This window comes from Homo sapiens, chromosome 18, assembly GCF_000001405.40.
Source record: "Homo sapiens chromosome 18, GRCh38.p14 Primary Assembly".
NCBI lineage: Eukaryota > Metazoa > Chordata > Mammalia > Primates > Hominidae > Homo > Homo sapiens.
This window is the reverse complement of record NC_000018.10, coordinates 22,202,670-22,215,213: the sequence shown is the minus strand read 5'-3', so window position 1 is coordinate 22,215,213 and position 12,544 is coordinate 22,202,670.

Below are 12,544 nucleotides of genomic sequence, written 5' to 3'. Positions count from 1 at the left end.
TAAGTCTTTTGAAATCAAGTAGCATTTCAATTAATTTTTTTTCAAGATCCAAGATTTGAGTCCTTGGAGAGACAGTGACAGGGATTAAAACTCCAGATTAACTCACTCAAAGATGTTGACTTCAACCCTAGTAAATTCATCTCCACTCTGACTCCTCCCAAAGTTGTTCTCAACCGAAGCTTCTATTTTTAATAACTTTCATTGGTAAGATACTTGAGGGGAAAAAAAAACACAATATTTCCTGTAATGATTCATCACTTCTTCCTGAAAGGGAAGCACTGTTGATTCCTAGAGTACAGGACTGTCTGTTTTAAAAGCAAAGCACTTCACAGCCTAACCCCGTTCTGTTGGATGGGACACACTCAGATGGTAATCACATCCATCTGATGTGATTAAAAAAAAAAAAAAGCAATAAGTTTCTTGACATCGCTGGAAGAGAGCCTCTTGCCTCAAACTTCCTAGTGGCATTACAGTGCTCCAGGACTCCACACACAGTCCAAGGGAAGAGAACAAAAAATACCTCATTTTTATTTCAAGTTTACTCTATTAAGCCGTATGCTTGGCAGTTCACATACATGTCATTTAACAACTCTGGGAGATATCCCATTACTCCAATTCTACAGATAAATAAACTGAGTCTCAGAGAAATTAAGAATTATGACCACGGTTGCACAGCTGACAAGTAGAAAATTCAGGATTTAAGTCCAGGTCTGTATTATTGCAAAGCCTTGGTTCTTTCCAATATACTCTGGAGTCCTCTAAACTACAAGATAGTTAATGGAGAGGGTGGGTCTACCTATCATCACCCAGGAGCTTCTGTAGTGCAAATGTCTTTTTAATGATATATAAATTTTTAAAATATGTTTTAATCCAAAAAAACATGTATTGAGCGCTCACTAGATGAATGACATCGCAGTGATTAAAAGAAAAAAAAGCATCTAGTCAGTAAACACATGATGTCAATTTCTTTTCTTTTCTTTTTTTTTTTTTTTTTTTTTTTTGAGATGGAGTCTCACTCTGTCTCCCAGGCTGGAGTGCAGTGGCGCAATCTCAGCTCACTGCAACCTCCGCCTCCTGGGTTCATGTGATTCTCCTGCCTTGTCCTCCCCCGTAGCTGGAACTACAGGCATGTGCTACCACGCCCAGCTAATTTTTGTATTTTAGTAGAGATGGGGTTTCACCATGTTGGCCAGGCTGGTCTCGAACTCCTGACCTCCGGTGATCCACCTGCCTCAGCTTCCCAAAGTGCTGGGATTACAGGTGTGAACCACCACGCTCAGCATTGTTAATTTTTTAAAGTTAATGTTGTTTGAAACCATAGAGCCATTTCCAAAAAAGTGAAGCAATCACAAGCTGTAAATTCCTAACAAGTCTCTGCAAAGCTAGTGGTAAAACAAAAGGAGCTGAGAAGCTGTTTAAAAGCAAGAAGGGAACTTCAGGTACATCAAGTCCAAATGTCCCTATTTATAGACAGTAAACTGAGGCCCAGAAGAGCCCATGACTTGCCCAGGGTCATACAGTTCAACCATGACAGAGCTGAGCCCAGAGCCAAGCCGGTGGGAGTGGTCAGCTCCAGGACTTCAGCAGAGGCACCTTCTACATAACTTCCCCAAGAACCCTCAGAGAGGCCTCCAGCAATAACATAGAATTCCGATCCTGAGGGAGTTCTAACAGAGATCCCTATGGCCCCCGGCAAGCTTCATCATCACAATGTCCTCTTCAGTTAAGCTCTCTAACTTTGGACTGAGGCCCAGTTGCTAAGGATCAGTGGCCAAGCGTGTGGAGAGCGATAGTTAATTTTATGTGTCAGCCTAGCTAGGCTCTGGTGCCTAGTTGCTTGATCAAACACCACAGCTTGGTGCAGTGGCTCAAGCCTGTAATCCCAGCACTTTGGGAGGCTGAGGTGGGAGAATGGCTTGAAGAATTAGATACCAGTCTGGGCAACCTAACAAGACTGAGTCTCAAAACAAAACAAATTAGGCCGGATGTGGTGGCTCATGCCTGTAATCCCAGCACTTTGGGACACTGAGGTGGGCAGATCACTTCAGGCCAGGAGTCCGAGACCAGTCTGATCAACATGGTGAAACCCTGTCTCTACTAAAAATTAAAAAAAAAATTAGCCAGGCATGCTAGTGCACACCTGTAGTCCCAGCTACTTGGGAGGCTGAGGCAGGGGAATCACTTGAATCTGGGAGGCAGAGGTTGCAGTGAGCCGAGATCCCACCACTGCACTCCAGCCTGGGTGACAGAGCAAGACTCTGTCTCAACAACAACAAAAAAAAAATTAGCTGAGCATGGCAGCACAGGCCTGTACTTAAGAGCTACTTAAGAGGCTGAAGCAGAAGATCCCTGAGCCCAGGAATTGAAGCTACATTGAATTACGATGGTACCACTGTACTCCGGCCTGGGCAACAGAGCAAGACCTCCACTTTAAACAAAAAAAAAATCAAACACCAGTCTGGATGTCACTGTGAAGGTATTTTTTAGATGGGACTAACACTGAAATCAGTGGACTTGAAGCAGATTGTCCTCCATCATGTATGTGGGCCTCACCCAATCAGTAGAAGGTCCTAAAAGAGTAAAGATTGAAGTTTCCCCCAGAAGAAATTCTTTTCCCTGCCTGGCCAACATGGTGAAACCGCATGCAAAAATCACCCAGGCATGGTGGCAGGTACCTGTAATCCCAGCTACTCGGGAGGCTGAGGCAGGAGGATCACTTGAACCCAGGAGGTGGAGGTTACAGTGAGCCGAGATCAAGCCACTGCACTCCAACCTGGGTGACAGAGTGAGACTCAGTCTCAAAAAAAAAGGGAATTATTTTCAAGACTGCATCATAAAAACCCTGCCTGCATTTCCAGACTCCTGCCCTGTGGAATTCAGACTCAAGACCAACATCAGTTCTCACCTGAGTCACCAGCTTACTGGCCTGCTCTACAGATTTCAGACTTGCCAGCCCTCACAATCACATGAGCCAATTTCTTAAAACAAATCTCTCTCTGTCTCTCTGTCTCTCTCTCTCTGTCTGTCTGTCTCTGTCTCTGTCTCTCTCTCTCTCTCTCTCTCTCTCTCTCTCTATATATGTATATATATATATATATATATATATTCAAGGATATATATAAAATCAAAAATCCAATATATGGATTATATATGTATATATCCTATTGGTTCTGTTTCCCTGGAGAACCCTAACACATGGAGCATGAATGAATGGTGTGACTCTAGGCTGAAAATGGGAAGTGGAAAGCAGATAAATTAGTGAGTGCCCATCTTGTGAAAGGCACTATGCTAGCATCATGTTCCAGGGTACAAACTCTGCCCCTACCCTCAAAAAGCAGAAGTTGAATAAGGCTTCAAGGCTGAAGACTGGCATACGAGGCAGATTATGTCACCCTCCTTTTTGAGATAAGAGCACTGCAGCCTTGAGAGATTCCAGAACTTGTTCAAGCCTCAGAGCTGCTGTGTGGAGCCAAGATTCAAACCCCCATTTGCATGACTCTGAAGGCACAGTGTTTCCATTTCACCACAGCCCTGATTTATCTATGATGTCTCCGGAGTCAAAAGGGGGAGAAGGCTTCAGGTAAGATGGAGAGGGCCACAATGTCAAATGCTTCTAAAAGGTCAAGGAAAGAAGGTTGGATGGTGCTGGGGACAGGGGAGAAAAGCTCCATCTGCTGCCCCAATTCAAGATATAAACAACTGAAGGCTTCCCATGGTCAGTTCCAAAATAAAGGTATCTCTGACCCATTTAGAAAGAAAAGGAGGCACCTTCTGAAATTTCTCCTGGAAGGACTCAACTGGAAATCATGCCTAGTGATATCAAAGAGTCAGAAATTTTTTTTGGAGACTCAAGTGATCGGTAAAATGTAAATGGAAGAATAGGGTAAACAAAGCTACAAAGAAGGAAGTCCTGGTAAAAGTACAAAGAATAATAAGTATATAAGAAACAATGGGCCGGGTGCAGTGGCTCACACCTGTAATCCCAACATTTTGGGAGGCCCAGGCGGGTGAATCACCTGAGGTCAGGAGTTCGAGACCAGCCTGGCCAATGTGATGAACCCCCCATCTCTACTAAAAATACAAAAATTAGCCAGGCGTGGTAGCACACGCCTATAGTCCCAGCTACTCGGAGGCTGAGGCAAGAGAATCACTTGAACCCGGGAGGCGGAGGTTGCAGTGAGCCAAGATAGCGCCAGCCTGGGTGACACAGTGAGACTCCATGGCAAAAAAGAGAAAAAAAAGAATATAAGAAAGAATGAACAGAATGTTGAATTATAGAAATGTTAAATATTATTAAATCTATGCCAATGTATTCCACACAGGCCAATTTGTATTTGGTATGCCATTATAAATTATAAGTAACAAGCAACCGGTGTTCCCAGGATGATTTTCCATGGATAAGAAGCCCTGTGTTCTTAGTATATGGGTCCTCTGAATTAACTATAGTGGGTTCACAAAGTTTATTCAAATGGAGTCATCACTCTTTCCTGCCAGCCCAGCTACTGGTCATTGCCCAGCTGATTAGAGCCAGAGGTCTTCCCTCTGCCAGATTCAACAAGAGGGAGCATGAAGAATGCAGTCTCTTATTTACAAGCTGTGAAGCCTGCAAAAACTTTGCCGAGTGTATCTGTCCATTTGGTGATAACTGATCTCCAGTGGCTCAGAAAGGGCGGTTGTTTGGGTTAGCAAGTATAGGTGTCTGTCCTGATTTTCTGCTCTCGCAATGCTTCCATTTACTTCAGCAAATGTGGCCTGGTGATTCACTGGAGACCAATGGTCATGTGGGCTACTCCCTGGAAGGAACTCAGAGGTGGTGTTTGGAGACACATGCAATCTTTGAAAACCCATACTGGCCCAAGTCTCAGTATCTTGTTAATTCCTAAACCGATTAATGAAGCATTACTCAGAGTAAAAAGAAGTTATAGCCTCTGCCAAAGTCCAAGCTTTTGCTCACAATGTTTGGTTCTTGCATTTCCTTCAGGGACCTCTCAGCCTAGCCCACAGCACCAAGGTCATGGATCCCCGAGCCTGGAAACCTGAGCTCTATACTGACGAACCACAACCCAACCTTTCTGAGACTCAGTTTCCTCAGCTGGACCTCAGTCAAGTCTCTTCCATCTCTAAAGTTATATGAATTGATGATTTAAGTGAATAAATGCAGTGTGAGGTACCTAGATTTCCTTAATCAGACAACACCATGAAAAGTGTTTCCACCAACACCTGAACCACCAGCAGTACAAATAGAAACTGCATATTCTCTCAGAAAACACAAGAGAATCAACCGAAAAAAAATATGAGAATTTTAAATGGTTCTGGGAAAGAGGCTTACTATACTCTTAATGAACATGACAATCCATTAGAATAAACTAACATCAAAAAGTATTGAACACCTAAGAATAAACTTAACCAGAAACATGCACAAGATCTACAGGAAGAAAAGGTTAAAATTCTTATGAGGGACACAGAAAAAAAAATTTTAACAAACAAAAAAGACATACTTCATCTTGGACAGGAAGACTTAATAAAATTAAGATATTAATTCTCCCTAAGATAATCTAAAATTTTAATACTATTCCAATAAAAATACCAACAGGATTTTTTTGAAAAGGAACAAGCTAATTCTAAAGTTTATGTGGAAAAACAAGTAAGCAAGAATAGTGATCAAATTCTTATTTAAAAAATAAGATCAATGAAAAGGAGCTGGCCTTCTAAACAGTAAAATACATGCAAAGTATAGTCATGCACCACACAATGACATTTTGGTCAAAAATGGACTGCATATATATGAAGGTGGTCCCATAAAATGATAATACTGTATTTTTACTGTACATTATCTAAGTTTGGATATGTTTAGATACATAAATACTTACCATTGTGTTACAGTTGCATACAGTATTCAGTAGAGTCACATGCTGTACAAGTTTGTAGCCTAAGAGCCATAGGCTATATCATTATAGCCTAGGTATGTGGTAGGCTAAACCATCTAAATTTATGTAACCACACTCTGTGATGTTCACACAATGATGAAATTGCCTGATGTACTTCTCAGAAAGTATTCTTGTCGCTAAGTGAGGCATGCTTATATAATAATCAAAAAAAAGTATGAGATTGACACATATATAAACATATCATTGGTACAAAATAGATAGAAATAGACCCAAATGTATATGTAAATTTATATTAAATATATATCCACATAAGAATTTATAAAAGAGTACATATACATATGAGAATTTATATAATTTTGACTTTCTATTTTCAATCAGTGGGAGGGAAATGGATTTTTCAGGAAATGATGCTGTGACAATAAGGTTGCCATTTGGACAAATGTTGAATATATATTCTACATGTTACAACAACCAACAACAAAAGTTCCAGATTTAAAAAACAATGCAAACCTCAAAAATAAAACCATAAAAATACTAGAAGAAAACACGGGATTTTAAAAAAATCATCTTAATGGTGGGGAAGGCCTTCCTAATATTATACAAAACTCCAAAGTCATAAAAGAAAAGACCAATAAATTGAATTACTTTATGAAAGAAAAGATCATCATGACTTTTTAAAAAGTATAAACAAAGTAAAACAAAAAGCCAGAATATATGTATATATATTTCAAGTATATTTCAGACAAAGGGCTGCTTTCCTTAACATGCGAAGAACTTCTCAAATCAATGAGACTGATAACCCAATAGAAAAAATAAGTAAAGAAAATGGACAGAGATGGGCAAAAAGTTCACATAAAAGGAATTACACATGGCTCCTAATCATAGGAAAATATGTTCGACTTCGCTCACAATAAGAGAAATGCAAAACAAAACTCAGAGAATCAAGACTGACAAGATCAGAATGTTTGACACCAGACTTGTGTGAAAAAGAAAAAACACTCTTGTCCATTGCTGGTGGGAGTACAAATTGGGGAAACCTCTGTGAGAGCAATTTGGCAATATCTATCAAAATGAAAAGTAGATACCCTTGAGTCAGTAATGCTGCTTCCAGAAATTCATTTTACAGGTATATTTGCACCTGCGTGAAATGACACAGATAAGGGATATTAATTGCAGCATTACTCAAAAAAACCAAAGGCTGGAAACAAATGTACTTAAATATGGCACTGATTAAATAATGACCTACCCAGATATGCTAAGTGAAAAAAGCAAAATGCAAAGCAATGTGTATAGTGCGCTATCCTATATGTCAAAAAACTGGAATATATTGTGTGTCCCTAGTCAATGCATACAATCCATGCAAGAAATAAGAAGTTATGGTTAGGCGCGGTGGCTCACGCCTGTAATCCCAGCACTTCGGGAGGCCTAGCCGACAGATCACTTGCGGTCAGGAGTTCAAGACCAGCCTGACCAACATGGAGAAGCCCCATCTTTACTAAAAATACAAAAATTAGCTGGGTGCAGCGGTGCATGCTTGTAGTCCCAGCTACTGGGGAGGCTGAAGCAGGAGAATCACTTGAACCTGGCAGGTGGAGGTTGCAGTGAGCCAAAATCACGCCACTGCACTCCAGTCTGGGCGACTGAGGGAGACTCTAGCGAAAAAAAAAAAGGGGGGAAGGAAGGAAGGGAAAGAAAGGAAAGAAATGAAAGAAGAAGAAGGAGGAGGAGGAGGAGAAGGAGAAAAAGAAAAGAAAAGAAAGAAGGAAAGGAAAGGAAGAAAGAGAAAAAGAAGGAAGTAACATCTGGGAGAGGAACTGACTGACTGAGGTAGAGGGGTGAAAAGAACAATTTTTTTTAGTGCATTCTAACTTACAACTTTGTGATTTTGTACTAGCCAAGAAATTTTAATTAATGCAAAGGCCAAAATTGCAGCTTCCAAGACAAGACCTGCAGAATCCAGTTCTCTGGGGGAGTTATGGACTCTGCGATTTTCACAAGCCCTGTGTGTGATTCTCGTGCACATGGGAGTTGGAGAACCCCTGACACAGAGCATCCTTGGCAATGCACACTTATCAAAATAATAATAGCAACAATGATGTAAGCAGTAATGAACACTTACTTAAAAAGATAAAGCCCAAGACACCACTGCCAAGATCTTGTGCAAGTTTTCCTGAAAAAAATTCTTTGGCACAGCTAAGCACAGAGATTTTACACCACAAGGTATTCCTTGTTCCCTCTCATGTTCAGTTTTAACCACTGTTCATCATTTCACCAGCTTTTTTACACTTTACAAAATGCTTTACCCTAATCTTTTGAGCTAGATAAGAGCATAATAAGCTGCACTTGAAGTTACAAGAAAAGGGGAAGGGACTCACTCCAAAAATAGAATGATACCTCTAAACTTTCCAGCTAACAGCTAGGCACTCTCTTCTATGTTCTAAAGAAAGAACTAACTGCGAGAAATATGCATGTTTACTCAATTTCTTCAACCTAGGCATACCTGTGTTGCAAATGATACTTGTGTATTTCTGAGATGCGAGCGGAGAAAGAAAAAGCATAGTCTCTGCTCTCAGACAGCGATGGCTTCCTTCTGTGTTCTTCTATTTCTTCACCTTTTTTATTTTATTTTATTTTATTTTATTTTTTGAGACAGAGTCTTACTCTGTTGCCCAGGCTGGAGTCCAGTGGCACGATCTCGGCTCACTGCAACCTCTGCCTCCCAGGTTCAAGTGATTCTCCTGCCCCAGCCTCCCAAATAGCTGGGATTACAGGCATGCACCATAACGCCCGGCTAACTTTTGTATTTTTAGTAGAGACGGGGTTTCACCATGTTGGCCAGGCTGGTCTTGAACTCCTGACCTCAGGTGATCCACCCGCCTAAGCCTCCCAAAATGCTGGGATTACAGATGTGGGCCGCCGTGCCCATCCTATTTTTTTGCCTTTAAATCAAGATGAAAAGACAACATGATGTAGTGATTAGGAGCATGTGCTCTGGAGCCACACTGCAGGGGTTCAAATCCTAGCTCTGCCACAGTGCAAACTTGGGCAAGTGACTTAACTTCTCTGTGCCTCCGTAGACACATCCCTAAGATGGGAATAGTACCACCCCATTTACTTGGTATGAGGATTAGATAAATGGGTATATGTGAGGCATTTTGCATAGAAAATGGCACATAGTGCTATATAAATATGTGTTGTTCCTATCTCCGACCAGTCTTGGAGCATTAAAGAAATAGAATTCACAAAAGTAAGGGTAAAAACCCTGGAAGAGAGTGATGAGACAGAGAGGAAAACTGTGTAGTAGCTAAAGAGAAGACACAGAAGGCAAACAACAATGAAATGTTGATTGCTTCCAAGAAATAGAAAACCAACTATAAGATACTGAAGCAATGGGCCAAGCAAAGCAAAGCTGTTTTTTCCTTGTTCTGCGGACTGCTCCAATGCCAGACTTTTCCATTTTCCGGTCTGGATTCGTATCGCTGTCTCAGTTTCATATGGGGGACACAGACCAAACAGGTTCAGTGTTAGGGAGCAGTGGCAGCCCTTACTAAGCCCCTGGGTTCATGAATATGACTGCAACTCTCACCCTCTATGGCTTAAGGTTATGGGAGGACTTGGCCTCCAGAGACCAGATCTGAGGTGGGGAGGAGACAGGAAGAGAGGAGATTGTAAATCTACCAGCCTCCTTACTCACAGAGGGTCCCTGCGAGCCCCTCAAACTCAGCCACAGACCTGCCATCACCTTGCATACAGTCTGCCCATGGGACTGTGGGATGTAAACACAGATAGAAGGGAACTTCTAGACCCCAACTGCCAGATCTCGCCATTTTTTGGCTACTGAGATCCAGAGAGAGCAAACAACTTGCCCCAAAGCTATAGGATATGTAGATGATTATTTTGACAGACAGACCACTGATAACTGAAATATAAGCACCTCTCCTCATTAAACATTCTTTAATCACTATATTTTAGTCATTTTTAAAAGGTTCTTTCTTTAAAAAAAAAAAAAAAAAAGCCACCAAGCAAAATAAGTATCTCTTGAGCCAAAATAGTGACATCAACTGTGTAATGGTCACTTCCCTGTAACAGCTACCAGGCGGCAAGAGCAGTGAAGCACCCGTCGTCACGCTGGTTCCCTAGTGCAGACTTGGAATATGCTGGAGAATATTCAGAGGAGCATGGGTGCTTGCTCTGACATGAGTCTCAGAGGTGCAGACACGCACCTGCAACGTCCTAACTTTCCTTAGAAGCAATTTGGAACTATCAACCACAATATATTTATCCAAAGTCCCTATAAACTAAGACTTTCTGGCATCCTTTATCTTGAAGTTGAACCAACTGAAAACACCCTTTGACTCCTCTTCTGCCTGTCCTACTGATGTCTATCACCTTCTCCTGCCTGATCCCAGCCCCACCAGAAGGTCATAAGCGAAGTGGCCTTCTCAGAATGCAGCTGCTGAAGGTTCAGCCACACAGAATCCATCCAGGAGCCTCAAGCAGCCAGACCTGTAGGTACCACATTTTTTCCCACAGACCCTATTCTGAAAGATTTGGTCTAGCAAGTTTATTAATATGTTTCCCATTTAAAATAATCAAAGCATATCTGACTGCCAATTAGAGCTCCCAAGCAACAGAAGATAACTAGTATTGCCACACTGACTTGCTAGTATTTCAACCCAGAAACAAAATGCATTTTAGCCAGGTGCAGTGGCTCACGCCTATAATACTAGCACTTTGGGAGGCTGAGGGGGAAGGATCACTTGAGCCCAGAAAGTTGAGGCTGCAAGTGAGCTATGATTGTGCCACTGCTCTCCAGCCTGGGTGACACAGCCAGACTTTGTCTCAAAGAAAGAAAGAAAAAAAGAAAGAAAGAAAGAAGAAAGAAAGAGAGGGGGGGAGGGGAGGAGAGGGGAAGGGAAGGGAAGGGAAGGGAGAAAGAAAGAAAAAGAAAGAAAGAAAGAAGGAAAGAAAGAAAAAGAAAGAGAGAGAAAGAGAGGGAGGGAGGAAGAGAGAGCGAAAGAAAGAAAGAAAGAAAGAGAAAGAAAGGAAGGAAGGAAGGGGAAGGGAAGGGAAGAAGGAAGGGAGGAAGGGAAGGGAAGGAAGGAAGGGAGAAAGAAAGAAAAAGAAAAGAAAGAGAGAGAGAGGGAGGGAGGGAGAGAGAGGGAGGGAGGGAGGGAGGGGGAGAGAGAGAGAGAGGGAGAGAGAGAGGGAGGGAGGGAGAGAGAGAGAGAGAGAGAGAGAGAGAGAGAAGCATCTTAATAAGCCAGCACTGCCTGATTCTGAAAATATTTGCTTCTGCCTGCCACCTTTCTCCCCACTACACTGCTCCAACCTGAACTCACCCTGGAATCTGGCACAGCATTGAAGACTCGCTGGGTTGCCCTCCCAGCAAAGCAGCCAATTTATCTGTGATCTGAAATTACATCAAATTTCCAAGGACTGTGAAAAACATTTCCCATGAGCAAGAAGTTAATTTATTTGCACTGGGAAATGAATGGTTCCCTTTGCTTTCCTGACCCTCCCATAAGCACCAGGAAACAACATTAAGTGACCCTGAAAAGAGACCCCAGACAGAGCCTTCACTTATTTAAGATGGCCTCAAATCAGCCATGTGTGACAGAAGACATAAATTCTCCAGTCCACGATATACGGTCTGGGGATTCTTTAAGCTGAGGTGCAGCATCTATTTGAATGCATTCCCTTTTGAGAAATGATTGGGTCATGTTCAGTTGCACATGTCATACTTTGGGAGAGGAGTGCTGAAATTGTGTATTTGGAGCAAATTTAACAAACTTCTTTATGCAATCATAGGTAAGAAAGTAATCATTTAAAAACAGATAGTGGAGTTCATTGTGTTAGGACAGGCTACAAGAAGCCCCCTCTGTCTTCTGCCCACTGTAATTTGTTTCATAAAAACTAGAATTCTTTTTAGAATTGGAAGGAGCAATATTTGAGATTATCCCAGAAAAAGGGTCATTTGGAAGCCCCAAAAAGAAAAATTCATTTTCCAATCAAACCATATTAACTTTAACAACTCCCAACCCACCAAAAAGCACTCAAAGTAATGAGAACCATAAAAGGAGGGAGGAAAACAGACATCAGTTCGTGGGGATAATAATTTTCTTCTGTTGTCAGAACAGCCTTGTTCTATTATAAAACAATCAGCTCTCATGCATCCTCCCTCCATTTCTGCAACCCCCTGGATTAGAGGGAGTCTTTCATTTCACTCTTCTTGGCCTTGTTGAAGAAGCACAGGTGACCCACAGGACATCACTCTTACAGACCATAAACTTCTGATATTCCAGGTAGTCAGACATTATTCAAAGGATCTATGTTGCAAATCATGCCACTCTCTTTCAAAGTCAAGTTAGTACTTAATATGTGCCAGGTATTGTGCTAAGCACTTGGCATGGACTATCTCACTTAATCCTGTGATTTATATACTATTTGCCTTTATTTTATATTAGAAAGATGAGAGCTGGATAACTTGCCCAAGGTCACAGAGCTTATCCACGGCCAAGCAGGGAATTGAAGCCTAGTGATCTGCCTGCATACCCAACACTCTTAACCATTGTTCTGGCCCACCTTATGATATCAGGGTGCACGTGGGCCTTACTGAATTACCCAGAAACACACACACACACACACACTGGCTA